The 26,969-nt window shown below is 54.1% G+C and overlaps 3 protein-coding genes across 21 annotated transcripts, besides 12 other annotated features; 2 read left to right on the plus strand and 1 right to left on the minus strand.

The window, feature by feature from the left end:
* Positions 60–677: an enhancer, noted in NCBI's record as "H3K27ac-H3K4me1 hESC enhancer chr1:110025999-110026616 (GRCh37/hg19 assembly coordinates)". NCBI's record gives its function as "activates a minimal SCP1, AML or CMV promoter by ChIP-STARR-seq in primed H9 embryonic stem cells {active_cell/tissue: H9 hESC(primed)}" and the evidence as "EXISTENCE:reporter gene assay evidence [ECO:0000049][PMID:30033119]".
* Positions 491–660: a silencer, noted in NCBI's record as "silent region_1150". NCBI's record gives its function as "represses an Ori minimal core promoter by ATAC-STARR-seq in GM12878 lymphoblastoid cells {active_cell/tissue: GM12878}" and the evidence as "EXISTENCE:reporter gene assay evidence [ECO:0000049][PMID:35858748]".
* Positions 588–9,487, plus strand: ATXN7L2 (ataxin 7 like 2). Of its 14 annotated transcripts, none has more exons than XM_047444943.1 (13): positions 588–763; positions 1,450–1,514; positions 2,015–2,805; positions 3,189–3,293; positions 3,690–3,900; positions 4,201–4,487; positions 5,066–5,148; positions 5,530–5,783; positions 6,613–6,811; positions 6,954–7,075; positions 7,605–8,400; positions 8,710–8,787; positions 9,269–9,487. In XM_047444943.1, exons 3-12 carry the CDS (start codon positions 2,787–2,789, stop codon positions 8,749–8,751), a joined length of 2,118 nt encoding a protein of 705 aa, XP_047300899.1. In that variant the 5' UTR covers positions 588–763; positions 1,450–1,514; positions 2,015–2,786; the 3' UTR covers positions 8,752–8,787; positions 9,269–9,487. The 14 variants fall into 14 exon arrangements, with proteins under 14 accessions (XP_047300899.1, XP_011538943.1, NP_001337103.1 ...); XM_017000267.3 differs by lacking the exon at positions 588–763 and having other exon boundaries at positions 814–1,514; positions 2,015–2,201; positions 2,740–2,805; XM_047444962.1 differs by lacking the exon at positions 588–763 and having other exon boundaries at positions 814–1,514; positions 2,015–2,192; positions 2,740–2,805.
* Positions 678–1,297: an enhancer, noted in NCBI's record as "H3K27ac-H3K4me1 hESC enhancer chr1:110026617-110027236 (GRCh37/hg19 assembly coordinates)". NCBI's record gives its function as "activates a minimal SCP1, AML or CMV promoter by ChIP-STARR-seq in primed H9 embryonic stem cells {active_cell/tissue: H9 hESC(primed)}" and the evidence as "EXISTENCE:reporter gene assay evidence [ECO:0000049][PMID:30033119]".
* Positions 7,540–7,589: a silencer, noted in NCBI's record as "silent region_1151". NCBI's record gives its function as "represses an Ori minimal core promoter by ATAC-STARR-seq in GM12878 lymphoblastoid cells {active_cell/tissue: GM12878}" and the evidence as "EXISTENCE:reporter gene assay evidence [ECO:0000049][PMID:35858748]".
* Positions 10,548–10,777: a silencer, noted in NCBI's record as "silent region_1152". NCBI's record gives its function as "represses an Ori minimal core promoter by ATAC-STARR-seq in GM12878 lymphoblastoid cells {active_cell/tissue: GM12878}" and the evidence as "EXISTENCE:reporter gene assay evidence [ECO:0000049][PMID:35858748]".
* CYB561D1 (cytochrome b561 family member D1) lies at positions 10,777–17,118 on the plus strand. Of its 5 annotated transcripts, none has more exons than NM_001134404.2 (4): positions 10,777–10,970; positions 11,203–11,306; positions 11,826–11,863; positions 12,362–17,118. In NM_001134404.2, exons 1-4 carry the CDS (start codon positions 10,823–10,825, stop codon positions 12,456–12,458), a joined length of 387 nt encoding a protein of 128 aa, NP_001127876.1. In that variant the 5' UTR covers positions 10,777–10,822; the 3' UTR covers positions 12,459–17,118. The 5 variants fall into 5 exon arrangements, with proteins under 5 accessions (NP_001127876.1, NP_001127875.1, NP_001127872.1 ...); NM_001134403.2 differs by having other exon boundaries at positions 12,439–17,118; NM_001134400.2 differs by lacking the exon at positions 11,826–11,863 and having other exon boundaries at positions 12,439–17,118.
* Positions 10,848–10,927: an enhancer, noted in NCBI's record as "active region_1441". NCBI's record gives its function as "activates an Ori minimal core promoter by ATAC-STARR-seq in GM12878 lymphoblastoid cells {active_cell/tissue: GM12878}" and the evidence as "EXISTENCE:reporter gene assay evidence [ECO:0000049][PMID:35858748]".
* Positions 10,917–11,417: an enhancer, noted in NCBI's record as "H3K4me1 hESC enhancer chr1:110036856-110037356 (GRCh37/hg19 assembly coordinates)". NCBI's record gives its function as "activates a minimal SCP1, AML or CMV promoter by ChIP-STARR-seq in primed H9 embryonic stem cells {active_cell/tissue: H9 hESC(primed)}" and the evidence as "EXISTENCE:reporter gene assay evidence [ECO:0000049][PMID:30033119]".
* Positions 15,030–15,324: a silencer, noted in NCBI's record as "tiled region #8825; K562 Repressive non-DNase unmatched - State 14:Gen5'". NCBI's record gives its function as "represses a minimal TATA promoter and a strong SV40 promoter by Sharpr-MPRA in K562 cells {active_cell/tissue: K562}" and the evidence as "EXISTENCE:reporter gene assay evidence [ECO:0000049][PMID:27701403]".
* Positions 16,172–16,671: an enhancer, noted in NCBI's record as "H3K4me1 hESC enhancer chr1:110042111-110042610 (GRCh37/hg19 assembly coordinates)". NCBI's record gives its function as "activates a minimal SCP1, AML or CMV promoter by ChIP-STARR-seq in primed H9 embryonic stem cells {active_cell/tissue: H9 hESC(primed)}" and the evidence as "EXISTENCE:reporter gene assay evidence [ECO:0000049][PMID:30033119]".
* Positions 17,119–20,860: 3,742 nt separating the features above from the next.
* Positions 20,861–26,410, minus strand: AMIGO1 (adhesion molecule with Ig like domain 1). Of its 2 annotated transcripts, none has more exons than XM_011541812.3 (2): positions 26,103–26,410; positions 20,861–25,660 (listed from the first exon to the last, which is right to left on the minus strand). In XM_011541812.3, exon 2 carries the CDS (start codon positions 25,593–25,595, stop codon positions 24,114–24,116), a length of 1,482 nt encoding a protein of 493 aa, XP_011540114.1. In that variant the 5' UTR covers positions 25,596–25,660; positions 26,103–26,410; the 3' UTR covers positions 20,861–24,113. The 2 variants fall into 2 exon arrangements, with proteins under 2 accessions (XP_011540114.1, NP_065754.2); NM_020703.4 differs by having other exon boundaries at positions 20,861–25,682.
* Positions 26,014–26,073: a silencer, noted in NCBI's record as "silent region_1153". NCBI's record gives its function as "represses an Ori minimal core promoter by ATAC-STARR-seq in GM12878 lymphoblastoid cells {active_cell/tissue: GM12878}" and the evidence as "EXISTENCE:reporter gene assay evidence [ECO:0000049][PMID:35858748]".
* Positions 26,084–26,233: a silencer, noted in NCBI's record as "silent region_1154". NCBI's record gives its function as "represses an Ori minimal core promoter by ATAC-STARR-seq in GM12878 lymphoblastoid cells {active_cell/tissue: GM12878}" and the evidence as "EXISTENCE:reporter gene assay evidence [ECO:0000049][PMID:35858748]".
* Positions 26,294–26,413: a silencer, noted in NCBI's record as "silent region_1155". NCBI's record gives its function as "represses an Ori minimal core promoter by ATAC-STARR-seq in GM12878 lymphoblastoid cells {active_cell/tissue: GM12878}" and the evidence as "EXISTENCE:reporter gene assay evidence [ECO:0000049][PMID:35858748]".

The raw sequence follows: 26,969 nt of genomic DNA on the forward strand, positions 1-26,969 counted from the left end.
AACCCTCTGCTCTGCATCAGGGCAGCGTGGGTTTCCCACAGAGGAGGCACGACACGGGAGCCGAGGCCCTCCCCCACACCACCCCTGTGTCCTTCAGCACCTCCTACAGACTCCCTCCCCTTGCCCTTCTGATTCACAGCGCCCACCTCCCTGCACCTACCCTATTCGATCTACAGGGGAGCGGAGTCGCTTCGTGGCCGCCAGCCCGGGAAGGGGCGCCAGCCAGCTGGCGGACGCACGGCTTAGAGGGGCGTCTGGGCAGAGAGGTTTGGGGCTGGGGAGAGATGCAGTGAGCTTGGGAGAGTGGACTGGTAGCACAAATAATGTGTGCATAAGGGTTAGAAGAGGAGGTCCTGGAGCTTTGGTCTTCTCTTTTCCCCCTGCAATTGTGCATTTCGGAGGGACTCTTGCTGCAAGCTCGGTAGGCAATAGCATCCGCTCCAAGACTACACTTCCCAGAAGGCTGTGAGTGGGTGGGGGGGGGGGGGGCGCGGGGAACAGGCAACCTGTGTTGCGCTTGCGCAAAGACTGCGCTGGAAAGGCAGGTGGGGAGGAGGGGAGGCGTGCCCGCGACGGGGCGAGGGGGAGGGGGCCGCGCGGCGGCGGCGCCAGGGCGGGCGCGCGTCCGCGGCGGTGATGGCGGTGCGTGAACGCGCGGCGGCAGCAATGGCCGCTCTGGAGCGGCGGGTGCCGAGTCTCGATGACTTCGCGGGACAGAGCTGGAGCTCGTGGGTGGAGCGGGCCGACCTGCCCGCGGCTGACGGTGAGTAAAGCCACCCTAAAGTCCGGGGACCCCATCACTATCTCCCCTCCCCCCTTCCGGGCCCCCGCCAGCTGAGGGGAGCCGCCGACTGGAGCCGCCGTCCGGCTCCCCGGCCCCCCAAACAAAGGACCCGCCGGGTCCTAGTGCCCGCCCGCTCCGTCACCTTCGCGCCTCCGGGTCCTAGCGCCTGCTCACCGCTCGCAGCCCACCCTGCCAACCTCTGCCTCTGCCAGTCGCTAATACCTGCCCCCATATAGGCTTGCCTTTATCTTTCTCCTTGCCTGCTGCCCCTCAGCTCGCGACCCTCCTGCACCTGCCTCCAGCTTTCCCTGTCCGCAACAGTCCTCCACGTGTTTCCCACGCACCCCACTTCTGTGCCCCCTTCCTCACCCCCCTTGTTCCTTCGCCTTTTGCCCCACACCTCCTGCTCCTTTTCGGCATTTGCCTGCAGCTGCAGTGCTTTTAGACCCCCGCCCTCTCCGCGTTAGTTCGTCCGTCCATCCATCTATCCTCCCTCCCTCCATCCTTCGGTCCATCCATCCATGCCTCCAACCCACTGTCCTTTCCCAGGCCTCTTGCCCTGCCTCTTGGCTCTCTGCTCTTACTCTCACCTTCTCTAGGCCCCTGAGTGCCTTAGTGAGCGGGCCTACAGCCCCTTCTTCTGATCTTTGTCTTCTGGGCCCCAGGGAGCACCTGGCCTCGTGGCCTTTCGGGGTGACAGCAGGCATCACGCCCCTGAAGAAGTTTGCAAGTGAGAAGAGGTGGAGGAGGAGACTGCACGGAGGGGTCTCTAATGACACTTGTTCTCCTCTGAGACATCCGACTCCCAGTTTCGTTCTATCCATCATTCCCCGCACTTGCATTTAACGGACTTAGAGTGGGAGCTGCCCCTTGTCTCTTGCGTGCCTAACCCACGACCCCTCATAATCTGGATATTATATAAGATTGTCAACAATCTTCTCATCCTAGAAAGGAGCATATCTGTTAATGGGCATCAGAGAGCAGACCTAAGTGGGAGCCCAGGCCACCCTGGGGCTGCCCCATGCTGGGTGGGCAAAGATGGGGCCATTGTCAGGGTCTGGGTGCATTGAGAACCGGAAATGGAGTCAGACGGGTTTGGTGACTCAGAATTGATTTTTTTTTTCCCAAGGGACAGGGAGGGGGCGTAGAGGAGGGAGGGGGGAGGAGAGAGGTAGGGGGATGGGGAAAAAGCTGCTTTGCACAGCTAAGATGTTTTTGTCATTAACCCAGAAACTGAGGTACAAGGGCAACCCCTGCCCAAAGGCCCTCTAAGAAGGGGAGGGACTTGCATAGCTGACCAAGGAGACTTTGAAGATGCTCAAGGACCAAAGACAGCAGTTTCTCTGCTCTGTGACCATCCTATCAGTGCAGGACCTGAGAAGCTGGGTGTAACTTTGACAATGCTATGGTAACCCAGGTGGAGCAAAATTGAGTTCATGGGGGTGGGGACCTGGGAGAGTATCTATTTGGGATGCCACATAGTAGCAGAAAGGACCCATCGAGAAATCTCAAGAAGAGACTCAGGGACTTATAGAAACATTGGTTAAGGACGGTTTCCCCTTTAAATGGGGAAGCAGGCCCAGAAAAGAGATGATACTTACCCACAATCACCCAACTAGTTAGCAGTGGAACCCTAAACTGCACCTTGAAGTGAAGGGTCCCATAAGAAAGGTGGATGGATTCTTCTTAGTGGGGCCATCTTAGTCCAGATGCAGCAGGTGAAGGAAGATGGGCATTTGAGAATGGACCCACTGAAAGGTTCCCCAAGTGGTCCTAGCACCAGGAGCTTGTCACGGAGTGTGGGCTTCATACTGTTGAGCTGCAGGCCCTGCTTGGGGCTTCTGGAAAGGGGACAACCTCTGGGTTGTCTTCTGGGAAGAACAGTCTCTGGTAAGGAGAGGCTGGAGACTCTCTAAAACTGGCCCTGACCCTTCTGAGCTGTGTTTCTCCTCTAGGGGCTGAGCTGGAGGAGAGTAGCAAAAACACGAAGAAGTTGGATGCCATGACCCTCATTAAAGAAGGTGGGAGTCGACACACATTAGGGCTGGGACCCAGGGCAGACAGGACCACGCTCCACTTTTCCACCACACTACAGAAGGAGGTGGCTGCTTGAAGCAGCTGTCTGGGGACCCTCATTTTGATAGGTCCGAGTCGGCCGGTTGTTCTGGCTCCTGTGACCTGTCGTTGGAGATCATAATCATAGGTGATTGCCCACTCACCTGAAAGCGTATACCCTTTGGGACTGCTTAGATCGAACTCTGGAAGCTGGAAGCATTCAGCATGGAGCTTGTTATATCAGCGGGGAGGTGAAGTGCCTTCTGAGTGTGGGGTGGGAGTGCTCTCCGATCTTCCAGAGAAACCCTGGGATCTTCAGCCCCAGTGACATGGGCTTCTGTCATTGCAGACATGTCCATCTTCGGGCACTGCCCTGCCCATGATGACTTCTACTTGGTTGTGTGTAACCACTGCAGCCAAGTGGTGAAGCCTCAAGCTTTCCAGAAGCACTGCGGTGAGGGGAGCCCTAGGGAGGAGATAAAGGGACAGGGGAAGGTGGAGCATGGAACTCTGAGGACAGGGTCAGTTGGGAGGTCTCGTAGGGTAATGGAGGGTGGTGTTGAGGATAGGAAGGTTGTGGGGGTGGCTTCAGAGCATTGTGGGGAGTCGGGTTATTGTTTGAACAAAATTCTAGCATCCAGTGGAATTACGGGAGGAGTTAAGACATTCAGGAAGCTGGGTCTTGAATTTTGAGTCCTAAAGGCTCAGATTCAAATGGGAAGGAGGCATGTTTACAATCTAATTTATGGAAACTCAGATTCTCTCATGTGAGTCTATGGACATGGTTAGGTTGGGGAAGGAAGTGGTGATACCACTCACCTTGATTATTCTTTCCACCTCCTGGTGACAGAAAGAAGACATGGGCCCCTCAGCAAGCTTTATGGCCGGGCCCCACCCCCACCTCCAGCCCCTGCCAGCTCTCAGAAATGCCATGTAGTGAATGGGCAGGGCCCAGCTTGTAGGGCCCCAGGTTCCACGAAAACCTCCTCCAGGGAGAAGGGCCAGGGGTCCCGGAGCCGTGGCCACCAGCCTCCTGAGAAGACCCAGAAGGACAACCTCTGGTAAGGAGAGGCTGGAAACTTTCTAAGACTGGCCCTGACCCTGACCCATGGATGGGCTGACATCAATACAGACAGCCCTGGGTCAAGGCATACTCCTCACAGCAGGAGGCAGCCGTCCTGTCTGCAGCTTCCTTCCATATATTCCAGGGAAGATGGGGTCTCCTCTTCCCGTGTTTCACACCCCTGCTGGAGCCCACCCAAATTCCAGGGCTGGGAAAGAGATGGCTCTGGGCTAGAGTCCAGGCCCCAGGCCTCGCCTCCCCTCCCCTCCCTCAGCCAACCCCCTCTCTCTGTGTGTAGCCTTTTCGTGCCTGTGGTGAATCTGGAGAAGATGTCCAGTCTCCCGAAGCCTGATGGACATGGAATCAGGGTGGCCCCACCCTCTGCTTTTCTCAGCCAGCCAGGGGGCCTCACCAAGGACTCCCCTGGAAAACCTCCCATGGCTCCCCCTTCTAAAGAACCTCCTGGCAGAGAGAACATCGAGATCATCCCCAGTGAGGGGTCCAGTCACTGGGCTGAAGGCAGCCCTCCTGAAAAGGAGCCCAGTGGGACCAGGCTGCCCCCTAAAACCCACCGGAAGATGGCTCGTGAGTAGTTGTGGTCTTGGGGGTCCAGAATGTAGAGTGGGGACTCCTTTGGGCTGCTTTGTCCTTGGGCTGGATGAGGAGGAGGTCAGGTTTATGGGCCTGGCCATCACAGGTTGTAGGGTATAGGAGCCCCGTCACCTCTTGACCTGCTTGCTTCCTGGGAAGCTTCTCTCCATCCTGTGTCTCCTGATCAAGGCTGAGGGAGCCCATGCCCAGGAGGTGAAGTTCTTTCTCACTCTTTTCTCACCTAGATCCAGGGCGCCAGCCAGACACATCTCACAGCTGGCTTCTCTGGCCTCCCAGATGCCCATGGCTGCTTTTGTTTCTTGATGTGTGTTGCCCTGCTTTGGGCTTGAAGTCCCAAAAGGCGCACCTGAAATTGGGATAGGGATGGTTCTCACACCCAGCAAGGAGATGTTGATGCCCAGAAGTTTATCTGGAAGGTACAGCCCCAGGCTGAGGGCTGGAGTCTCTTCTGCCTTAGTACCAGTTCTCAGGCCCTTGGCAGGAAGCGGCCAAATCCTCCTGTAAACTCCTGGAAATGGTCTTGAGGTTCATTGGAAGTGCTTTCCCCACAGGGAAGGAGTGCGACCTCAACAGGCAGTGTGGGGTAATAAATCCAGAGACCAAAAAGATCTGTACCCGCCTGTTGACCTGCAAGGTAACCCCCTTCCCACTGCACGGTGAGGGAGGACAGCACAGGGCTTGCCCACTCCTTCCCTGGGCAAAGAGAGGAATGTCGATGTTACTGAAGGTCCAGCTTAAGGGAGGGCAGTTAGGCCCACCCAAGGGAAGGGGAGATGGGTATGCCCCTCCTGGGCAGAAGGTGGGAACAGTGGGAAGGAGGGAGTTTCCAGATTCCCCCATCCCAAAGGAGGGTTTTGGCCCCATGGGGGAATGAAACAAAGACACATGAACACAGCTGCAAATATGCCCACCTCTCTCCCTGCCCCCCAACTTGCCCGGGCCAAAGCACCCTGCCGTCCCTCACCCCTTCTCAGTTCATACCTACTCCCCAGCTCTCCACTCTGCTGTATTCTAGATCCACTCAGTACACCAGCGCCGGGAAGTCCAGGGCCGGGCCAAGGACTTTGACGTGCTGGTGGCAGAGCTGAAGGCCAACTCCCGCAAAGGGGAGTCTCCCAAGGAGAAGAGCCCAGGGCGCAAGGAGCAAGTTCTCGAGCGCCCCTCCCAGGAGCTCCCCTCCTCAGTCCAGGTTGTAGCAGCGGTGGCTGCTCCCAGCAGCACCTTCTCTGTTCGTGCCAAGCAGACCTACCCATACTGTGCACTGCCCAGGTACGTCTAGAATCCAACCCCTACCTCACCTGGGGGTACTTGGCCCCTAAGCCATCAGGGGCCCCTGGAAACAGGCTCAGGGAGTGTCCTGGAAGAGGCACTCCCTCAGCCCTGAGTGTGGGGGTATTCCTGGGGCTCCTGACAGTGGTGTGGAAGCAGGAGACTCCCCTGTTTCCAACCAGGCATACCACAGCACCCCAGCCTCTCGGCAGTGTGCCAGATCCAACACTCAGGATATGAACATTTTCCCAGCTGCCTCCAACAGACCGAAACTTGTCACTGGGGAGCTGAAAGGGTCACACTCCTGGGCAAGGCAGCCCTATGTGTATTCACTCACTGGCCCCTTCGCGTGCAGAGGCTATGCCGGACCCCAGGGAGAGCCTGACTTGCTGAAGGAGACACACATGCATCTCTGCCTGTCACACAAGGGGCAGACACGAAACACAGGCTCAGCTCACAGACAGGCTCACAGGAATATGTGATGCAAGAAGGGGGTTGAGCGAGTTGACTGGGCTGACCAGAGCTGGGTACAGTTTTAACTGTGAAGATTTTCTGGAGGAGGCGGATCTGCAGCAGATTATCCCCTGAGGAGGAAGGGGCTGGGAGGTGAAGGGGCTGGGGAGAGAATCCCTTGGGAGCAGTCTCTCTGTCTCTTACTCTGTGAGCTGTGTCGTTCCCTCCTGTCCTTCCCTTCCCTCTGTCCTCTTCTGATTGCCCTGCAGGGTGTCTGCCCTGGTGCCCTGCTCTTTGAGCTCGGCAGGTTCAAGGATGCCCCTACTCTGACCCCACAACAGTCACATTCCCCTGGCATCCCTTTTGGCCCTTCCAGGTCCCGGGCCTCCTCCGAGAGTGAATTGGATGATGAAGGCCCCTGTGGTGGTGATGGGGACCCAGGCCTGTTCCCCTTCCCCATGCCCCGGGGTGGGACCCAGGCCTCCAGCGAAGAGAGTGAGGAGGAGGGGACATCTGACGACCTCCACCCACCCCCTGACTGCCATTATGCAACCCGGCCCCCACGGCCACAGGCGGTAAGGACCTGGAATAGGGGCCTATGGAGGGGGTGGCCCAGCACTCCTGGCCAACAACATGGGGAGGAGGCCAGATCCTGTGTGCAGATGCTGTCTGTGCACCCCAGACCCTGCCAACCATGCACCTTCCTTCTGCCTTTAGTTCTGCACCTTTGGGAGCCGGCTGGTGAGCCCAGGATGCTATGTGTTTAGCCGCCGGCTGGACCGGTTCTGCTCAGCACTCAGCTCCATGCTGGAACGGCACCTCAGCACACACATGTGGAAGTAAGTCTCTCGGACCCAGAATGGAAGTTCTAGAATGGAAATTCCTAGGTTCCAGACATACTTGGGCTTCAGAAGCCCTGATCTTTCCTGTATACCCATAGGTGTGCCTTGGCTATTTGCCAGCAGGACCCCAGATAGGGAGTAGCATGAAAAGGAGGTGGGAAAACTTGGCAGCCTAGAGTTTGGCTAAGGCAGGGCATGGAAGGGTGGTCTGGGGGTGAATCTAGACTTTCATCCATCACTTCCAGTACCTTTTGGGTAACTAGGGATAGGGGATGCCCAAACCAAGATTTAAAATGAAGTTCCTAGTGGGCTGCCTCCTAGTTAGTAGGTACTAGCTAATTCCTCTCCACAGGCACCCCTGTGTCTTCTTCCTAACCCTCAGTTCCAGCATCTCCCAGCAGATGGCAGCAACTCTGGGGCTCTGCTGACCATTTCTAGGTGGGGCAGAGAGACTGGAGTGTGTCTTGTGTTGGGGGAAGCTGTCTTGTTTCTTGGCAGTCACAGTGGGGCTTTCTTTTTGCTGCAGGAAGATCCCACCGGCAGCTGAACCTCCAGCTCACCTTGTCAACTCCCCGTTATCTGCTCCCCTGAGCCCATCCTCTACAGGCACCTGCCCCCGCCTTCCAGGTCCAACCCTGAGACCTGCCTGCCCAGCCTCCATGCCCCCCACCAAGGACAACCTTGTCCCCAGCTACCCTGCAGGCTCCCCCAGCGTGGCGGCTGCCTGTAGCCAGGCAGAGTGCATGGGCGGGAGCCAGGCTATCACCTCACCACTGCCTGCCAACACGCCATCCCCGTCCTTCAGCAAGCTGCCGCCTTCCAAGGCCAGCAAGTCATCCAAAGGCAAGGACGGGGTGGAGGTGGAGGCCCCTTCTCGAAAGCGGAAGTTATCCCCTGGCCCTACCACTCTTAAACGGACCTGCATCCTGGAGCCCACTGGAAAAGGGAAACCCTCTGGCTGTAGGGGCCTCTCGGCCAAAACTAAAACAGCCCTGAGCATGGGGCTTAATGGGACAATGGGGCCAAGAGTGAAGCGGGCAGGGCCCCTGGACTGTCGTGGCTCCCCTCATCAGCTCCCCACACCAGTCAAGGCTTCTCAGCTGGAGAACCGGGGAGCAGCTGGACACCCAGCCAAGGCCCTGCCAACCAACTGCCTCTCTGAGGAGGAGGTGGCCAAGAAGCGGAAAAACCTGGCCACTTATTGCCGGCCAGTGAAGGCCAAGCACTGTCAGGCTGGTGCCCCTGCTGATGTGGCCTGCTCTGTGCGCCGCAAGAAGCCAGGCCCGGCCCTGGCCTTTGAGGAGAAGTGCTCTACACTGAAGGTACCAGCCAGGCTCCCTGAAGATTGATGAGGGTGGGGCACACAGGGGGTACCTGATACAGAGAAGATGCTACATTGGTGTTTGTGCAGGGAAAGGGAGGAAGGGGAAGTTGAGAGAGTTCCTGGACTGTTTTCTTTAGGAAGAGGTAGGTCAGTTCTTAGCAAAGTGACTCCAGCTTTTTGCCTGGTGAACCTTCCCCTATCCCTAACCCTTTCCCTTGGGCTGAGGAGATGCGGCACCCCTCCACCCCTGCTTTTGCTATAATCAAAGGGCTACTTCTTTCTGAATTGGCTGTGACCCTCATTCCAGGTACTGGAGCTACCTCTGTTCCCTGAAGGAAAGGGAGTTTGAGTCCCTGGGTCACAGCCTAACATGCCGAGCAGCAAGGTGGGTGGGCTGGTCTCACTGGTTTTTCCTCTGGGCATCAGGGCCTTGAAGGGCAGGCACACAACCCCATGTCCACTTATGCACATGTGCCCACCTCCAGGTGTGCAGGTGACAGGCAAGTTCTCCAGGGTTTCCAGTAAAGCCTGCAGCCAGTTTTATTTGCCTCTTCTGGTGGGAGCCCTGGTGTAGTGTGCTATGTGCTCTCCATATGATCTCTGCCAGGAGGGACTTACTGGAGGTGGGACGGGGGTGCTCTCCTGGGTTAGATGTGGGCCTAATCATAAACCCTGTGTGTTCTCCAGCTTCACTACCCAGGCTGCCCCTGGTGAGCTGGCATTCATCTTCCCCCTTGCTCAGTTTTACTCACCAGGCCAGCAGAAGGAAATCAAGCTTTAGCCTCTGTAGTGCACACAGTTCACTGGGTAGGACAGCTGGTAGGCCCCCACCCTGACCCTTTCTCTCGCCTCTTGTCTTCCTGCAGTCAAAAGCCCATTAACGAGAAAGTGCCTGCCCACTGCAACGGAGCCGCCAGCACCTCCTCCCCTCCAGATCCGGGCCCCAGGCTGCTGCCGCTTTTTATAACTTTATATTATTTTTTTTTAAGAAAAAAAGCTCTTTAAAATACCTCAAGACTGTCTCCCTGTTCTGTTGCTGCTATGAAAATATAAAAACAGAAACATAGAAAAGGAAGGAAAAAAAATAACAAAATGAGTGTCCTTACTGTCCCCAGCCCTACCCTGGGAGGCTGAGATGATAGGCAGCCAGACTCCAGCTCCCATAGCTTGCCTGCAAAAGTCTCTTATGCTCATTATTATTATTATTGTCATCTTGTCATTTTCAATAGTGTGAAAAATGTTTGTGTCACTGGGGTAGTCTTTCCAGACAGGATGATGAGGCGTGTGGCTCTGAATGAGTAAGGCTTCCTGAGTCTTGACACCAGAGACGACTATGGTCCCATTGGGAAGAGAAACTCGAGAGGGGGAGCTGCACTTCTGGCTCTTTCTAGGATCCTTGCCCCGAGGGTCTGGGAATTGGCTTGTGACCCTTTTCTGGTCCTTCAGCAACCCTAGGCATCCATCCCTCCCTGAATTATTGCCTGCTTTTCTTCAGCTGTTCCTGCAGCCTCATTTTCTCAGCCACTTAGGGAGCTTGAGCTGGGTTGGTCATTGCTGTTGGGATATTCCTGTTTTCTATTGGACAGCCTTCCTTCCCTGCCTGTGGGTTTGCCTTTAAGGAAGGGGTAGAACCTTTCCCAGGGAGGCCTCCTTGGGTTGAACCACCCCTTTTTTGGAGGCAGGAAGGGAAAAGGCATCATCACTTGCAGAACTGGTGGTGTGGGAGGCCACAGGAGTGTGGGAGGCCTTGGTCCTTCAGGATCACCTGGCTCCTCAGGGCTGAGCAGCTGCTGAGGAGGCGGCAGGGCTGGGAGTGCCCTAGTTTTTCCATTTATCTCGCTGGGGACCACTCCCGTGCAGATGCGAGAGGAGACTTGCATTTCCCTCCTTTGGTCCACCAGGTTCAAGGCACTATATTTTGGCGATGTCCTTTCCTATTCTCCTTGCTCTTAGGCATGGAGGAAGCTTGTTCCCTGAACAAGACAAAATGAGGTGACAGGAGACAGTGCACAGCCAGGGAAATCCAGTACTACTAGAAATCGGCTCCAAACACTTGTTTCACAGTCTTGGTTCAGCGTACCAAGTGTGTGATTTGGGGTTTCACTGAAATCGTTTGCCACAAAAGTAATTTCCACAGGCTGCTTGGGATTTAGGCCCTTGTAGACAGACACACAGATACAAATGAAGGTGGGCTGGGAACTGTTCGGTCCCCTTCTGCCTCCGGGCTCTCGCGGGAGCGGGCCTCTCCGGGGCACTCGCGTTTCCCCCCCAGCCCCCAGAGGGCGCTGTGGGCCACTCCGCCGCACTGCCGGCGGCGTCCCCGGGGAGGAGCCTCTCCTGCAGCCGCCACCGCCTCCGCGATCGCAAACCCGGAAGACGTGTTCGGGCAGCTGGAGTGTACGGGCCCGCGGGCCACGGCCATGCAGCCCCTGGAGGTAGGTCTGGTTCCCGCTCCAGCTGGGGAGCCGAGACTGACCCGCTGGCTGCGGAGAGGCAGTGGGATCTTGGCGCACCTGGTAGCTTTGGGCTTCACCATCTTTCTGACAGCGCTGTCCCGGCCAGGAACCAGTGAGTGTGCGGGGCGGGGTTGCGGAAGGGGGCGGAGTGGAGATGCTGGAGGGGCAGCGCTTGGGAGCCCCGGGAGACTTGGAGGAGGGACCCCAGCAGTAAAGGGGAGACAGAAACAGTGGAGGGATTTTGAGGGCCTGGTGGGGCGGGGCCCCAGGGATCCTGGAATAATGGGGTTTTGGGTGCTGTGGGGGAAGGGCAGACGATTGAACAGACCGAACTACTTCCTCAGAAACAGGTCCCCTGATGGAGGATAGAAGTGAAGGAGGCCGGGCGCGGTGGGTCATGCCTGAAATCCCAGCACTTTGGGAGGCCGACGCGGGTGGATCACTTGAGGTCAGGAGTTCGAGACCAGCCTGGCCAACATGGTGAAACCCCGTCTCTACTAAGAATACAAAAATTAGCCAGGCGTGATGGCGCGCGCCTGTAGTTCCAGCTACTTGGGAGGCTGAGGGAGGAGAATCGCTTGAACCCGGGAGGTGGAGGCTGCAGTGAGCCGAGATTGCACCACTGCACTCCACCCTGTGCGACAGAGCGAGACTCCGTATCAAAAAAAAAACAAAAAACAACAACCAAAAAAAACAAAAAACAAAAAAGGGGCAGAGGACTGGGCTGCCAGCTGAGAGGTGCTGAACGGGGAACCCGGGCCAAACTGTTGTATGTGTGTGGATAAGGAGGCCCTCTTGGTTGCTCACCCTGGGGCTCCTTGGCTGCTCCACTTTGTCCTTAGTTCCTGTGCCCGATTAGGATTGGGGATGGTACTTTTCTCCTGTGGCTAGATTCTTTGGGTTCCACCTAGCTACAGGGGCAGGAACAATGGTACCAAGCCCTCAGCCTGTTCTCTTTGATTCTTAGGTCTTTTCTCCTGGCACCCTGTATTCATGGCCTTGGCGGTGAGTTTAGGCTTCTATCTGATTTGTTTGGGTATTCCTCACCTCATTCTCCCAGGGAAGCACCCAGCTTTCAGAAAGCTCAGCCTTTCTAAGGCTAAGACAGGTGGAGGAAACATCTAGGGCTCATCTTTCCCTGCAGCCTATGGGATTGGGAAACCTGGAGGGCTGGGCCATAGGCAGTTGTCAGATGGTTGAAAAGGGCGGGAGGGCATGGAAGATAATTTCTTTCTCCATTGGGGCCGGAAAGGAGAAGGGGGGAGAGGTGTTATCCGGTCATCTCCCGACTTGTCCCCAAAGTTCAGGAAGAAGTTTAACATTTGCTACTCCACTGGTCAAGAAATGGGAGTCATTGTAGAGGTTGGGATGGGGAGATGTCAACCTGAATGAGGAGACGTGCACTCAAGTGCTGATTCCCAAATGTTCCCAGAAATGTTGAGCTGTGAGGCTGGTGGTCCTGGTTGAACTTATTTAACCCTTACCCTTTGTCCTCTTTGTTAGGATGTATGAGAGCACCTCCTTTTTCTCAGGCCTCCAAGCCAGACATGAGGCTTACTGGCTCTCTCCTATGTTCACAGTTCTGCCTCTGCATGGCTGAAGCCATCCTACTCTTCTCACCTGAACACTCCCTGTTCTTCTTCTGCTCCCGAAAAGCACGGATCCGGCTCCACTGGGCAGGGCAGACCCTAGCCATCCTCTGTGCAGCTCTGGGCCTGGGCTTCATCATCTCCAGCAGGACCCGCAGTGAGCTGCCTCATCTGGTGTCCTGGCACAGCTGGGTGGGAGCCCTGACACTGCTGGCCACTGCTGTCCAGGCACTGTGTGGGCTCTGCCTCCTTTGTCCCCGGGCAGCCAGGGTCTCAAGGGTGGCTCGCCTCAAGCTCTACCATCTGACATGTGGACTGGTGGTCTACCTGATGGCTACAGTAACGGTGCTTCTGGGCATGTACTCAGTATGGTTCCAGGCCCAGATCAAAGGTGCGGCCTGGTACCTGTGCCTGGCACTGCCCGTCTATCCAGCCCTGGTGATCATGCACCAGATTTCCAGATCCTACTTGCCGAGGAAGAAAATGGAAATGTGAGTTCCTGCGAACGCTGAATCTAGGTGGGACGCTTGCCTTGAACATCATGGTTCCTTTGGTGATCTATAAGGGATCTATTTAAGAAGTGGTCAGGTTTTCGCACTTCTTGGCTGGTCCAGGGACTGCAGAAACCAAAGCTGCTATTGTTGAGGAATAATTCAGTGGGTCAAAATGGGGAGATGTACTGGGTATGAGTGGAAGGTGATGGAGAGCCTGATCCTGAAGCCTCTACTTGATGAGAGACAGAGTTTTGGGTGGTGATAGTGATGTGCTGGTGGTCATTTCTTGCTTGTGTGCCTGATGAAAAACTGGGTTCCTGTAAGTTATGAATGGCATCCAGGGATATTTGGGTTACTTTTAAGAAAGCAGTGTGATGTAGTGGAGAGAGCCCATGGGTCTTATTTATGGGATATGGTCCTCTTAGGCTCTGTTGTACAACCTTAGGTACATTCCATATCTTAAGACCACTGTTTCTTCATCTGTGAAATGTTTCTAAACAATCTCTAAGTCCCTTCCTTCTCTAATATACAGCGTCTGTCAGGTCGATGTCTCAGAACACTCTCCCAGCTGTGGACCACGTGGACCACTTAGCAGACTCAGGGGGTAGTTCTTTACTCTCCCTTTACTACCCTGGAGGGACAGCTCTGCCCTTGAGGCCCTTCAGAAATTTGTGCTGATTTGGTCCCTGTGCCAGGGCACAGGGGGTCAGGCACTGTGGAAAGAAGGGACTCAGGTGAGGGTCTTCTGGACTCTAAGACGGTAAAGGCACTAAAGTCACTTTAAAGCTTTTGGAGAAGCAGGAGGGCATTGGCTTAACCAAGCCGAAGGCTGCTGGCTGGGCTGCCTAGCCCAGCTAAGATCTTCCTTCAGCCCACCTCAGGATCCGGGCTTGAGGGCTGCAGGGCCTGCGTGCGCTCCCTCCCCCGAAATCACTTCTCAGGGCAAAGGAGCCCCAGGCATCTCATGCTTTGCCCTTCTTAGGGCTCAGGTTCTTGCCTTAGCACATAGCTTCTGGGAGCTTTTTTGAAGCATTTCATAAGGGCCAAGGAAGTGGGGCAGGGCTTTTCTGATCCAAAGAAAACAAAGTTTCTCTGGTTACCCCTCTTCCCTTGTTATCTAAGCTTTCCTCAGTTGTCATCTCTTCCCAGCTCTTTGGTCCAAGAGGGGGCTGAGTTTGGTGCCAGCTGGCAAATGAGGGCTGGACTCTCTTCCCTCCAGAGACCACCCCGCTCCTTGCTGCAGCTGAAAGTAGTTCCCCAGGCTGCCCTCGGTGGTGAGGACTGGATGCTAGACTGCTGAGCTGTGGTCTGGGCTCAGTTGAGAAGATAGGATCTCCCTAGATCATGGCAAGGCCTGACAACAGCTGAGCCAGGAAAGTGCTGCTGAGGCAAGTCGACATAGCTCACAGGGAACTCTGGGAAGCCTGGGATGTAGGCGCTGGAGCTCCAGTTCCCAGGAGCAGGGGCAGGTGTTCCTAGATGTTAGTGTTGTGGATGTCCTTGGTCTTCTGAAGATTCAGGTCCTCCTCTCCGGGTAGCTTAGAAGTAAGGAGGTTGGTTTGATTCAATAGTATGGGGACAGAATGGGGACAGCAAGGGCAGAAGTGTCCTCTCCACGTAACTCATTATGCCCCTCCTGGGGGAGATTGCATCTCCAGGACAAGCATCTAAAGGAGGCCCCTGCTGTGCAGAGGGGTATTGTTCCTGTCTCTTTCATTGTCCTCCCTCCTCTCAAACTCTCCAGTGTGGTGTGAACTCAGAAGAAACGGTTACTGGGGCTGCATGGAGAATTTCACCTGCGGTGATTTTGATCCAGGGACTGCATCTCCTCTTTCCTCATCACAGCCAGTGCTGAGAGGCTCCTTCTACCTGCCGCAGGGTAGGAGGGCCAGGCAAAGTTCACCAGCTTGCTCTAAGAGCAAGCAGGCAATGCCGTAAAGCCTGAGCCTGCCTGAGGTGCTGCCTCCTCCCAGGTGGTGCGGGGGCTGGTGGGCGGGCGGGCAGGCGTGCTGACAGCCGGCAGTTTGCGTGGGCTGTGCCATCTGATGTCTATTCCCAGCCCTGGGAGGAAGGGGGAGTCATTTATATTCTGCAGGAGGAAGGGGCCCCAGCTGTCGCCTTTCTGACCAGCAGGCCTGGAGGGCAGGGGCACAGAGCAGAGAGGAGGGCACTGGTGGTCTCCTGCTTAGCCTGGTCTGACTGCAGTGTAGGGAATAGGTCACCAGGAGGAGCCCTTCATCCTGGCAGGCCGGATTGTGGAGGGACTTCCCTCCCCCTCTTTTCCATTTCTCCCTCCATCACCACCTGCCCTCACATCCTGGGGCAGCAGCTGGACAGCCATTAGACCTCAGTGCCAGGGCACTCTTCCTCCAGCTGGGATCTCAGTGGCTCCCAGCTGCATGGGCTCCTGCTTGTGTGTTCCCTCCTCCGCCATCCTCTGTTCCCCGCACCTCCCTTATTCTGCTCATGTCTGGGGTATTCACTTGGCTCCTCAGCAAGGAAGCAAACGCCTTGGAGGAGAAGCACATGGTTGCCCTTTTGTCCTTGCTCCCTGGCTAGGGAAAGCTGCTAGTGGTCAGCCTGTTTTGCCTTTTTTTAAAAAAAAAAAAAAAGCCAGGGCAGGGTGCTTAGATTTTAAAAATTTGCGTGTCATTTGCACAAATTTTCATATCAAGCTAAGTCCTGATTCCAAATTTGATTATATTCCAAATTTGATTATATTCCAAATTTGATTATATTCAGATTCAACCTTGAGGACATTAGAAATATAGATGGCTTCTGTATCCAAATCTGAATGGAAATGAGATTACCCTTCTGGGTTCAGATACCCCTCCCAAGCCCCCGTCTTTTCTGTAACCACCCCTCCTCTGAGCCCCATCATGGCTGGGGTTGGTATGGAATGGGAGCAGCTCTGTATCTGGGGAAGTCCTCCAGCCTCACCTTCTTGGCTCTTAAGTGGTAGGCTGTTACCACTTGCCAGCCTGGGCCTCCTCTCTCCCCACCCTTTCACAAGGCAGGCTGCCCTTCCGCACTCACTGGCCCATCCCTTCTTTCTCATCGTCCCACCCTTCCACCCCCGTGCATGGCTGCTGTAGGTCTGGTTTTTTTGGTTTTTGTTTTTTTTAAGACGGAGTCTCACTCTGCCGCCAGGCTGGAGTGCAGTGGCAGAATCTTGGCTCACTGCAACCTCTGCCTCCCAGGTTCAAGCGATTCTCCTGCCTCAGCCTCCCGAGTAGCTGGGACTACAGGCACGTGCCACCATATCCAGCTAATTTTTGTATTTTTAGTAGAGATGGGGTTTCACCATGTTGGCCAGGATCTCTTGACCTCGTGATCTGCCCGCCTCGGCCTCCCAAAGTGCTGTGATTACAGGCGTGAGCCACCGTGCCTAGCCAGGTCTTGTTTTGAAAACCTCACTGTGGGAGATTCAGGCATCCTCCCTAAGCCAGCTGGCCGCTGTGCTAAAGCCTGTTCAGAGTTAATAATAATCATTAGCTGAATGGTGCTGGGGCCTTTCAGCTTCAGATCTCTAAGCACTTGCAGGCTGAGTCAGTCAGCCCTCACCTTCCCCCTCCTTCCTGGGCTGCAGAGTGTAACAGAATGGGAAGGCACTGTGGGAAGGAAGTCAGGAATCTTGCTGCTAGCCACGCCTTGCAGTGACTTCTCGTCTGGGAGTGGGCACTGAGTCCTCTCAGTAAACTAATAAGACTTGCACCTGACAAAGGTCAAGATATGTAGGGAACACAGTGTATGCTAGGCTGAGACCTATGGTGGTGGCAGGGGTGGCTGTTGAGCCTGAACTTCCAGTACTCCTGCCCTTCCTTCTGTTTACCTGGCTTGGCCTACAGGGGGCACCCCTGGTCTTGATGCCTCAAGCCCAGCATTTCTGGGTCCCCTCTGCAAGCTCAGAGAGCAGGGAGGCTTCTGGTAGTGCTCTTGATGCTCCTGTGTCTGGTTGGCACAAAGATCCTGTGTAACATGAAATGAAAGGTGCATCAGCTTGGGGGCTGGGAAACCTGCAGTATGGGTTTACTCCGTCCCTATCACTGGTGTGGCTGTGGGCAAACCACTTATTGCCTGACCTACCTCACAGGGATGTTGTGAGGGTTTGATGAGAGAATGAATGTTAATAGGAATTGGAAAATTCAAAGCATTAAACACATGTAAACAGGTGGTATTATTATGTTCTTGTCCTTCTCTTTCACTGAGCCAGGCTTTGGGCTTTATGCTTCTTAGGCAATAAACAGTTATGGATAATGACAGGGGATCTAAGTCTCAGAGAGTTGTTCTGGCCATCATAAGAAAACATGGACACATTTCTTCCTTCCAGATGCAAGGTCAGCTCTTACCAACTCCTGCCAGAAATGCCACCACGGCCATGACTAGTGAAGTTTGCCGTAAGTGCTGCCTACCTGGTGTTCCCAAATCACAGGGCAGACTGCAGATCTCGGAGTCAGTACAATTCCTCCCTAGGTCCAGCCTGAAGTTCCTGGAGCTGGTCTTCGTAGGGAGCTGCAGGTCACAAGTCTATCTAAATCTCTCCTAATTCTGCCCTTCTGAGGGAAAAGTGGAGCAGACAAGCTAGGAAGGGAGGAGCAACTGGAGCAAACAGCATCGCCACAGACCCTCTGTTTACCGAAGCCACAGAATGAGCAACACCTGCCTCAGGCATTGGAGATGCAGAGCAGGGACCCCTGGCTTCCCAGGGTCCACAGCCTGGTTTCCCTTTCCCCATTTCAGGCTCGTGGAATAGGATCAGTCCCCTCCTCCTCCAAGTGCTTTATTGGCATTCACATACACACACACACACACGCACACACACACACTGAAAGCAGTTCTGTTTAAGTTTTAAATTGGGGAAGAATACTTTCCATTCCATTTGTCTGAGAGCAGCAGCAGTCTGCCTGGAGTGGATGCAAAGAAGCAGGAACAGCAAAACAGCAGTGCAGAGGCTTGAATATTCGTTTTTTATCTTAATTGCTTTTTCTGTCCTGGGATCCAGGAATGAAACACTAGTCAGGCATTGTGTGCAGAGCCTCAGCAGTTCTCACCAGCACTGCACAAAGACGACAAGCTGAAAGGCAGAACTGCCCTGGAGGGTGGTTTGAAGTAGCCCGTCTCCAGCATGGCGCTGGGCTTAACCCCTTCATGTAGGCAGAAATTACCTCCAGTGAGGGGACCTTCCCCCTACCCACCCACTCAGGAGACTCAGCTAGTCACCAGATGCATCACAGAATAACAATCTCAGTTTATAATCCTGCTATTGCTAGGATTTCCCAGATGAGTTTTTAACCTCTGTTGGAAGCAGATTAAGGAACGACTTCAGGCTATTCAGTGGCATCTGAGGAGCCAACTCTGTCTCACTGAGTATACATGAGTGGCCCCCTAGCACCCCTATCTTTAAAGCAGATACCCAGTTATCTCATGGTGCTTTCTAAGGATGCTCAGTTCTGCTCAGGCCCCCCAAAAGCAAACTATGACCAAGTGAGGGAGCAGTGGGAGGTAAGGGAAATGCAGCACAAAGTACAATCCAACTCCAGTACTTGCCAACCTGTATGTGTGCGCACATGCACGCATACACCAGCCTTGGAGGCAATGACTCCTGCCTAATGTATGCCAGTGCCAAAGGGCATCCAGAAGTCCCACTGCAGGGCTCCACGTCCTGGCTCACTGCAGGTTGGTTCTCTCAGGCCATGGTTCCAACCAGGGAGAGTAAACAAGCTGACTAGATTGGAGGCGTCAGGGCAGGTCTAAGTGTCTTCACCATTTTGCATTTTCCACCTAAGAGTGTAGAAGCCTGATGAAGGGGCTTGACTGGCAGCTGCTTTAGCCTTCCTCTCTCAAGCCCCAGGAGAGGAAGCATTCAGCACAGGCTGACTGTGACTAGACCAGAAAAGCCAACCGTCCCACTGCAGGGGCCTGAGCCTTTTCTGCTATGTGGGTGGAGAAAGTGAAGCTTCCCCACTGGTTTCCTGGGAGATACAAGATAAGTGGTGCAAGAAGTGCATGCAGAAAGGGAAGGAGTTGAGAGACTGGGGGGAAGAGAGGCCAGGTTAACCAATGCACTGAACTCTTACCTATTCTCAAAGAAAACTGTCATATTAGCCTCCTCCCTCCCCGCAAGTGCTACCTAAGAGGAGCCAGGGTAAGTGCTGCAAGGCATGGCAGACAAAATTGCACATCTTGGCCAGAATCTAAGGAACTTCTTGTGGTTTGGGGGAGGTGGTGAGGATGTGGGTGGTGGGTGGGTGGGGGGTGTTGAAGAGATGCAGCCATGGACTTCCTTGGGCTTGGCACAGGCCAAAACAGAAGAGAGAACTCCAAACTCCAAGTAGTCCTCATCAGACTTGCTCTCCTTATCAGCTTCATCCTGTCAGCCAAATTGTCAGCCATAGAAAAACTGCTTTGCAGATGAAAAACTATATAAATGCAGAGTATGGGAGTGCTCTGACATCAACAGCTGTCATTTCACTGACTGCCAAGGTTGACTTGTCTGATGTGGCTGGTTGTGCAGTAGCTCCACCCCTCGTCACCTTGGTTGTTCCTCCTGAAGTGAAAAACAACTTTCCAAATAGAGGAGGGCTGCCCTTCGGTCAAGACTTTAGGTAAGTATTCAAATTCGCATTCTTTTAATTTTTTTCCTGGTATCATTTCCTCTCCCTCTTTGGAATCTGCCACGACAGCCCCCTTCTAGAATCACCAAGAGAGGAGCCAAAGAATCAGCATGGTTAGAGTTTTAGAGTCCAGTCCAATTTCTGGTAGGCTGAATCTGTACCAAAACGTAGGGACTGCATTTTTCTGTTCCACGCAATGCCTAGGACACACTAAACTGTCAAGGAAGATTAACCTGCCCATTAGGTGAATATACTTTTAGCCTAAGATGGCTACCATTTACAACATGAAAATACTGATAATAAAATTCTGTGAAAGTGAGCTGCTGCCCACCATTTTTTAAAACCCAATCCAAGCATTTTTTCCATGGTATGGTCAGTAGGCTTGATCCAGACTTTTAAGAGAACTCGGCAGGGAGGCAACCCTCTGCCCTAGGGATCCAGGAAGACTTCATTATCTACAAGCCTCAGCGAGCGCCAAGTCATGGGATTTCTAAACTCTAAAGCTTCAGTGACATTTGAGAATCTTAGGGGTCAGCAAAGTATGGTCTGTTGGTCAAACCAGCCCACTGCCTGGTTTTATGTGGCCTGTGAGCTAATAGTAGTTTATATATATATATATATATATATATAACATTTTTTTTTTTTGAGATGGAGTCTTGCTCTGTTGCCCAGGCTGGAGTGCAGTGGCGCTATCTTGGCTAACTGCAAGCTCCACCTCCCGGGTTCACCCCATTCTCCTGCCTCAGCCTCCTGCGTAGCTGGGACTACAGGCGCCCACCACCACACCCGGCTAATTTTTTGTATTTTTAGTGGAGACGGGGTTTCACCGTGTTAGCCAAGATGGTCTCGATCTCCTGACCTTGTGATCCACCTGTCTCGGCCTCCCAAAGTGCTGGGATTACAGGCGTGAGCCACCGCGCCCGGCCTAGTTTATATATTTTTTAATGCTTGGAAAAACTCAAAAGGCATGTTAAAATATGAAATTCAAATTTCAATGTCCATAAGTCAAATCTTTTTTGGACCACAGCCACAGTCATTCATTTTTGTCCTGTCTGTGGCTACACTCAAGCTATAGCAGCACAGCTGAGTTGTAACAGAGACTGTGTGGTCTGCAGAGCCTAAAATATTTACTATCTGGCTCGTTAGGGAAAATGTTTGCTGACCCCGGTCCATCTTAATGCCTAGATGTGTATTTCACCCATGTCCGTACAATAGCACTTAAAGATTTTCTTCCTAGATAGGACACACCCTTCTGAGGTACAGTGAACCCCACCCACAGGCTGAAAAAATAAACCAGTCAGATTGTGCCAGAACAGAGACTCAAGCCAGGTTTAATGATCATTGTCTAGTTTTCAGAGCCCAGAGGCTCCAAGATTTGCCAGCCTAGGTGTACACAAGTGGGAGGAATGGGGTCTTGGACACGGGAGGCCTGCTTGCTTTGTCAGCAGAGCTACGAGGAAGTACAGAGGTAAGAACACACAGAAAACTGGATCCATCTGCTTTGCTCTCCCCAGCTGGGGTGTACCCTCTCCTGGCCCCTTTCTTGGGCCCCATAAATACAAAATAATAATAATAATAATAATTACACAGATTGTAGAGCCCTGTCATCCTCTGTCTCCAGGGACACCTGCTTCCTGGGAGACATGTCTGGTTTATGGGTGTGGGGTAGGGTAAGAGGAGGTGGTGATCTCTCGGCCTTTTCTTATACCCACACCTGGCAGTTTTCAACACAGGGTTCTAGTGCGCTTACATATGCTGATTATTCAATTCTCCAATTAAAAAGCTACCTTTGGGTTCTATCACCTGAAACCACGGGAAGAAACAAATCAAATCTCTTGGTAGGGCAGCCAGGTACATCTACCAGGTGTCTCAAACTCAAGGCCAAACTAGTGGATATAGTCAGGAGACTTAAGAGCCACAGGGCCTTTTCTCATTCCCTAAACTGGGTAGGAATTATGAAGAAAACGGCCCTCCCAGTCCTCAGGAGCTCCATCACGATGCCCCAGAAGGCCTGCTTCATTTAACGCTCACTTTAAAGATCTTCAGAGCCCTAGATGGTGCCAAGCGGGGAGACTGCAGCATGGAGATGAGATTTTCCCAGATTTCCTGATGAGTCTGAGGAGGGAGTCCTAGTTCCTATAGCTCCAGTAACAAAATTCTCAGGAGTCTCTGGAATAAATCAAGACAACTTTTCTCTCCTGAGGACAGTTAACAGGAAGAGCAGCTCACAGCTACTTAGCCCCTTGCCAGTTTCCTTCTGAGTCCTTCAATGACCTAGTTCTATCTTAATTGCTCATATATTGCTCATATATATAGTCTTCACGGGAGGTTTCTGAGGAGTCCAAAGAACCAGGTAGCTCCTTACCACCTCTTCTCCCAAGGCCTTCAACCCATGGTTCTTCTAACTCCAGCCTGGGCAGAAAAGTGATTCAGTGCCATGGAGATGTGGGTGAAGCTTCAGGGAGTTCAGAAATGAAAATACAGGAGTGTGTATTTGAAGAGCCTGGCATGGTCACTGTCTCTCCTAAAGAGGAATACAATTGTGTGCATGAAGTTGTGCACATTGGTGGAGACCATTCTGAGAGTATCATTAATGGGGACTACAGATTCACTGTCCTGGTGGAAGTCAAGGTGCTGGTGTGCATGCATACCTATAAGCATGCATACCTATGAGCATGCAGGTACTTGAGGGAAATGCTGCACCTCTCTCTCAACAAAACTAGGTTACTAATAAAGGATGGACAGCAGTCTTGAGTTCCCAGGACCAGACAAGGGGAAGATGTTGAGTCCCCTTCCCCAATCATAATAGGAAGCTTAATAGTCAGGCCCTCCAAGCCCCTCACCCACAGGTAAATGACACCTCTTAGAATGTAAAAAGAGGTCAGAAATCTAGAGGATCTGGAGAACTTCCAATGGACTAGAAACGTGGGAGAGAAGAGACCCTAAGAAAAACCAACATCAGAGAACATTTTCACCTTCACCCTGCTCATCCCCCGCCAAAGCTCAGAGCAGCCACTCACAGGGCATGCAGTGTAGTCAAAGGGAAAGGTTAAAGGGATCGGTCATCTCCATACTCAAAGTATTCTGCAACCTTGGATGGAATGGAATGTTGAGCTCATTCTTCTTAAGTTCCTCTGGCCTCACAACCACAACTGCAAAGACCTCTCGATGGAGGAATGGGGTGGCAGAACTCCCCTTCTGAAAGTTTAGTACTACTGATTATCTCTGCTTCAGGATTGCCTGGAATCTGTGGAGAGGGCAGAACTTGAAGCTGCACTCCAAATTGCCATTCTGGGGTAGAGACCACCCAATTCCAACCCTTCTGATGTCAAAACCCCATGCTTTGACTTTGCAGCAGAGGTGGTATCTCTGAGAGGAGCAAGGCAACCTTGTCCACACAGAGGAGATATATACTGGATTTTCACTATCGCCAAGCCTACTCTAAGCCAGCTGGGGCCAGGCTTTCTTGGACTCCTCCCTTTACAGAGCAGCATATTAGGGAAAATTCAGAATCCCACCTGAGCTTGATAAGGAGACTGGATGAAGAGATGGCATACATTGAGAATCAGCTAGGTCCAGCTGGATGCTACATAATAGAGGCTGATTTACCTTCATCCTTCTATCGTGAAGTGGGCCCATGTACCACGTCTGTGGCAGGCATCCATAAAAGCTCTGCCTTCAGCAGCCCCCACTCTGGCCTGACACACAGATGCTGGGAATCAAATACTAACCAAGGGTTTCACCAACCAGGGAATTAGCCTATCTGGAATTCACCCCCCATCTACAAGTTTCGTGCTGGCACCTATGCTGTGACATGGACCCTTCAGTTCATGCTATAACCCTCTGTGCCATTGGTCCCAGGACAAGGCACAGATACCACATCCCACATTGCTGTTGTAACTAAAAGGCAGCAGGCCAGGCTCCTGCAAAGATCCATCCACCCAGGGCACATCAGGAAAAAGGAAGGCTTTAATGCAAAGTCTTACAACAGCTTTGGGGAATTGTTACCGATTGAGGTCTCAGCCTTTTCCTGACTCATTTTCCAAAGGTTTTCAACTTCCCCAGCTGTGAAGTTTGACTTGCTAAACAAAGAAGATACTACAGCTTTTCCCCAGTGTGGCTCCTGTGGAAGCTCCCCCAACACACACAACATCACAGGTGTGGGTGGGCAGAGATAGAAAAAATTTTTTTTTCTAAATGTTTTTCTCTTAAGGAGCTAGGGATGACCTCATGAAAGTTTAGGGAATCTGTTCTTCCCCTCACTCCTTCCTCATTCCCATCCAACTCAGACATGCTTCTCTTCCTCTACCACACTGAGAATTGGCAGGGCTTTGGGTACGGGTGTAGCATTTGCCTGAGGATTAATATACCCCCATTTGAAAATCGTGGCAGCCACGCCCTGTTTGGGGTCTTGCTCTCTGTTGTACCTGGGACCAATTCCCTTGAGGTCAGGAGGAATCCATTCCCTTGGGCAGCCAGCCCTCTCTTCCATCCCCTCATATCCTTCAGGGGTGCATTACCTCTCCTGGGGCAGAATCTCCCCACCAACCCATCCTGCTCACACCACAATGGGCGTATCAGAGAAGACCGAGCTGACTGATTCTGGATCCGACATCCTCCGTTGGCCCTTGCCTGTGGCCTCAGGCACTGGCAGGGTGTTGCCTGGCTTGAGCTTGCCGTTTTGACCCTGCCCAGGTCCAGCAGGTTCCAGGAAAGCCACCCGCCGGTCAAAACCATCATCTTTGTCCCCACCAGCCATAGGATCATGGTTGGGTGTGGTACTAAGCATGGAAGAGCTGAGGCTGTCTCCTTGATGGCTGGAAGGCTTCTCTACACCCCGGCACCAGCAGCGGCAAGGGGTGAGGTATAGGTATATGAGGACCAGGACCACACTAAGGATACAGCCCACTAGGGTGGTATAGGCTGTGTTGAGGGTGTCATGGTGTCCGTGCAAGGTGAAATTGTGCACTTTCAATTCCACAGACAGTGTCTCATTGAAAGTCTCTCCCATGGCATAGCAGGTATACACACCACCGTCCTCGACCTGCACCTGCTGGAAAAGAAGACTGCCATCCTTAGACACACTCACTGTGCCATTGGTCACCTCATCTAGCACCCGTTCATTACTTGGTGTCACCCACACCTTGGTCATCCCTTGCTGCTTGGTGTCACACTTGATGATCAAGGTGTCACCCAGGTGGGCCTCCCAGGCACGCTCCTTGTACTCGCCACAGTTGAGGAAACTCAGGTTGAAGACATTGTGCAGCTTCTTGGAGTTCATGCAGTACAGATCCTCTTGAAAGTCCATCACGGAGCTCAGCTGCCGATACTGCCAGTGTGAAAACAGCTGGTAGAGCTCACAGTCGCAGTTCAGGGGGTTGTTATGTAGGTACAGCCCATTCTTGATCCAGGCCGGCAGCTTCTGCAGGTCAGGCAATGGCAAGTTCTTCAGCTTGTTAGAAGAGAGATCCAGGAGCGTTAGTTTGGGTAGCTTGGCTCCTTCCTTGACCAGTTCCAGAGGGAAGCGAGAGATCTGGTTCTGGCTCAAGTAGAGTTTCTGCAGCTGGGCCATGTCATCGAAGGCGCACCGGTCCACCGCCATGATGTGGTTATTGTAGAGCAGCAGCACCTCCAGTACTTGCAGGTCACTGAACAGGAACTCATCCAGTGTACGCAGCTGGTTGGAGGAGAGGTCCAGGTAGCGCAGGTTGGGTACCGGGGAAAAGGCCTCAGAGGAGATGAAGTTCAGGTGGTTGTGGCTCAGCAGCAGGGAGTGCAGTTGGGTCAGGCGCGTGGGGGTCCACTCGGCCCGCAGGCGGCTCAGGTTGTTGTGACTGAGGTCCAGTAGTGCTGTGTAACTGGGCAAGGAATGGGGCACATTGGGCAGCTGCTGCTTGGAGCAGCTGAGGATGTTGCTGGCGCACAAGCAGGCGGCAGGACAGCTAACCACGGCTCGGCCAGCTCTGGCCACCTCAAAAAGCAGCAGGGACAAGGACGGCAGCAGGAGCCAGAGGCCTCTCGGGTCACGGTGGGGGTGCATAGTGTCACTGGAGTGGGCGAGGAAGGCCACAAGGAAGATCTGGGAGGAGGTCACCCGGGCATGTTCTGGTGGGGTACGGAAGGGTCACTTGAGAGAAAGAGGATGGGTTTGTGGTCACCAAGGACTCCAGAGGGAAGGACACCCTCTCCCACTTCCCCTCCCACCCTTACCTCCACCCCCTTTGGGCTAGGAGAGAGAGATGCTGGGTAGTTTCCAGGCACTGTGCAGGCAGTGGGCTGTAAATATCGGCCGAAGAGGAGGTGGCCCGAGGGCCTACTGGGCTGGGGTCACAGGGGTGCAGGCTGCAGGTATGCACAGGATGGCAGGGACTGCTGGGAGTCACAGGGATGGCACGGGCAGGGTTTGGAGGTGGGGTCGGTGTGCCTTTTGGGAGGAGCTGAGGGAAGGTCAACAGGGCACCGGGCTGGGTAGGACGCGTCCGGTCGGGGTTGAGGGTCCCCGGGGCCTGTAGGGGCGGGCTCCCCCCGGGGCCTCCGGTCACTGCACCTGCTCGGCGAGGACGTGTCTCAGCCCATGGCCGGTCTGGGAGCTCCGTCGCGGCCTCTCCCGGCGGCGCCTCACCGGCCGGCCTGTCACTGCGCCCACCTTACGCAGGGGCCCGCGCCCGGCACCGTCGCCTCCCGGGGACTTGCGGGGCCCCGCTCCGCTCACCCTGCCACCGCCTCGACCGCTGAGCCCGCCGGAGCCCACCGACCGCGGTCGCTGCCTCCAGGTCCGCAGGCCTGGCGCGGATCGGTGCGGGGAGCCGGAGGCGCAGCGATCCCAGCGGAGGGAGCGGCGTGGGGGCAGCGAGCACCGCGCGCGCGCCCGTCGCCGCCGCCGGAGCCTCGGGGCGCGTGCGCGCGGCGGGGGCGGGGCGCACGTGCGTGTGTTTGTGTCGGAGCCGGCCGGGCGGACGCGCGCGGGGTCGTTCCCTCAACCAGCGAGCTCCGGACGCTGAGCTAAAGACGAAAATTGGCAGGAAGAGCGGCACTGGCCCCTTAGGCTCCGCTATAACTTCCTCCATCCCCCATTCCCCCATCTCCCAGCACCCTTCTCGCTACACAGACCGGCTCTCAGGAAAAGTCTAACTAAAGTGAATTCGCTGCACCTACTCGGGCAAGAGGCGTCACATGTCTTTTAATTTCGCAAATTGAAGAAATCTGGCTCAGCTCCCGCCTGCCAATGTTGGCGGGAAATTCATTAGTCACATTCTGAGGTTCCCCCTCCCTTCTCTCTGTGGCTGTGGGGTCTCAAAAATTGGGGGAGGGGTTCCCCCCACCCCACCCCCGTCTTGATGCTACTAGTTCATGACCCTTGAGGTACCACTGAAGGGCACAGCTCCTTAGCCTGCAAGCCAGCTGCGCAGGAGTG

Source organism: Homo sapiens, chromosome 1, assembly GCF_000001405.40.
Source record: "Homo sapiens chromosome 1, GRCh38.p14 Primary Assembly".
Lineage (NCBI taxonomy): Eukaryota > Metazoa > Chordata > Mammalia > Primates > Hominidae > Homo > Homo sapiens.

Bases quoted from the DNA above. Each gene is read 5' to 3' on its own strand.
- ATXN7L2 (NM_001350174.1), top strand. From the start codon at position 637: ATGGCGGTGCGTGAACGCGCGGCGGCAGCAATGGCCGCTCTGGAGCGG. The intron at 5,784-6,612 runs GTACGTCTAGAA...TGGCCCTTCCAG, and splicing joins CCATACTGTGCACTGCCCAG to GTCCCGGGCCTCCTCCGAGA. The intron at 6,812-6,953 runs GTAAGGACCTGG...TTCTGCCTTTAG, and splicing joins GGCCCCCACGGCCACAGGCG to TTCTGCACCTTTGGGAGCCG.
- CYB561D1 (NM_001134400.2), top strand. From the start codon at position 10,823: ATGCAGCCCCTGGAGGTAGGTCTGGTTCCCGCTCCAGCTGGGGAGCCG. The intron at 10,971-11,202 runs GTGAGTGTGCGG...CTACTTCCTCAG, and splicing joins GCTGTCCCGGCCAGGAACCA to AAACAGGTCCCCTGATGGAG. The intron at 11,307-12,438 runs GTCAGGAGTTCG...CTATGTTCACAG, and splicing joins ACGCGGGTGGATCACTTGAG to TTCTGCCTCTGCATGGCTGA.
- AMIGO1 (XM_011541812.3), bottom strand. From the start codon at position 25,595: ATGCACCCCCACCGTGACCCGAGAGGCCTCTGGCTCCTGCTGCCGTCC.